Source organism: Homo sapiens, chromosome 9, assembly GCF_000001405.40.
Source record: "Homo sapiens chromosome 9, GRCh38.p14 Primary Assembly".
NCBI lineage: Eukaryota > Metazoa > Chordata > Mammalia > Primates > Hominidae > Homo > Homo sapiens.
Window position 1 is genome coordinate 86,838,561 of NC_000009.12, and position 1,991 is coordinate 86,840,551.

The 1,991-nt window shown below is 45.4% G+C and overlaps 1 annotated feature.

Moving 5' to 3' along the window:
- Nucleotides 298–799: an enhancer, noted in NCBI's record as "H3K4me1 hESC enhancer chr9:89453773-89454274 (GRCh37/hg19 assembly coordinates)". NCBI's record gives its function as "activates a minimal SCP1, AML or CMV promoter by ChIP-STARR-seq in naive H9 embryonic stem cells {active_cell/tissue: H9 hESC(naive)}" and the evidence as "EXISTENCE:reporter gene assay evidence [ECO:0000049][PMID:30033119]".

Here is a 1,991-nt window from a genome sequence, read left to right on the forward strand (position 1 = left end):
ACCTTGGCACACACATCCGTGCCTATTCATTGTGTAAAGACTGTGGTCTTCAGGCTCCAAGAAAGAGGGCTTGGATTCAGATAACTGACTCTGGGGAAATAGCAGCTTGTTTTTGTAACACTGGAGATGTATTTACTTTTCACTTAATGAAGGGGAGTGATGTCTTGGATAAGTCATGACCCGACACAAACTACAAACATTAAGCCCAAACATTACACGGGAAACCCTTCCCAGAAACGTCCAATTTGTTACTAAGTAGAATCAGTATTGGTGGTTTTAGTGCCATGGAGAGATTTCATTAACTTTCTGAAGGGAAAACACTGTGGAATGGTGAGGCAAACCTAAAGACATTCTGTGTGCGAGTGTGCGCACGCACTCCTGTGCCTACGTGTGCGTGCGGCATAGCTGCAATTTGACATCATGTGGTAAGATTAGCCTGTTTCTCGCTGGCGGGAAATTCAGTGTGGCCCAGAAAGTTACAGAGGGAGGAAACTGTGAATTGGTTGAGAAGGAAAGTATTAAATAATTCTTGATGTATCACTGTGTCCTGGAAAAGAATGAAGATTAGGAGGAAAAAGGCTGGAACAGGAGAGGAAAAACAGATGGTGCCTTGCAAAGAACACTCCTGCAGTTTTTCACATCTCCCAGTGGGACCTGAAATGTGAACACAGAGTTGAGGCTGAGCAGGAAGCCAAACACACTGCTGCGGACAGGTCAGTGTGGCCCCATGACCTGGGCGTGTTGTCCCAAGGCCTGGAGGCTGATGCCCAGGGGAGCCCTGGGGAGGGCCGGCAGATGCTGCCCTGTCGGGAGTGGGCAACTGAGGTCAGCAGGACCATCAGCCAAGTGCCTGGTTTTATCCATCATGAATGAGATGGCAAGGATCCAGCCGTGGGAATTTTAGCAGAATGGTTATGTGTAAGGAAATAGGCATAAAATAAGAGAGGGCAAATGGGGCTTACCACAGAATACCACAACCAGAACACAAAAATCTTAATGACTTTTAAAGATTTTTGCAAAGTTTCAGGCCTTCCCTCAACTCAGCAAACATTCCCGTACCTACCTTTATTTGCCTCTTCAGGCTTTCTAGATCCTTCCCTGTCTCCCATTTGCCTGTAGAGCTGAATGAAACCAGAGACCAAGCCAAGGGTGGGGAGCCCACTGGCCCAAACAGGCTCTTTTGCAAGGCCCACACGCTCCATGAGTTTCTGTGGATTTGAAGGTTGTCTTGAGCCATTTGCCTGAAAGCCAGAGTTTCTAGCTCCAACAAATACGAGTCTCACAAAGTAAGAACAAGGCCTTAGTGTCTGAGATGTGGGACTTCATTCAATGCTGTGATTTTAATATAAGAAATGAGAGATTAAATTATAATGACATTTCAAAAAAGAATAACATTTTTATAAATACCAAAGTCTACCAGCAAACTCAGTGGTAGATAAAAGATTTCTAGCTACTAAAGAAAGAGCACTCAATGTGCAATGTTGGAAATTCTATGTGAGCAGGTAGAGAAAAGAACAGCAACTTTATATTTTTAAGGAATGTGATGTTATGGGAAGGCACAGGTGGTAAGGCCTCCTGCAGTGGTCCTCAAACTTGAACAGAATCATGAAGAAGGCTTGTTAAAACATAGATGGCTGGTCCCCACCCCCACAGTTTCTGACTCAGTGGGTCCAGGGAATTCTAACAAATTCCCAGGTAATGCTGATGCTGCTGTTCTGGGGCCTGCACTTTGAGAACCACTGGCTTAGTTAAGATAAAGATACATGCATAGATTACATTTCTGTTTACCCACATCTGCAACTGTATTCTGGCAGGAAGCGTAATGGACTGTAACAAAGCCAACAATTATTGGACCCCTTTCCTGTCCCCAGTCAGTGGTTTCAGGGAGCAGCTGAGCTGAGCAGAGATCATCATTGCTGGCAGTGGGAACCCAGGTGTTCTGGACCCCTGAGGTGTCCTGCTGACTGAAATGAATTGAGGACTGAGGAAAG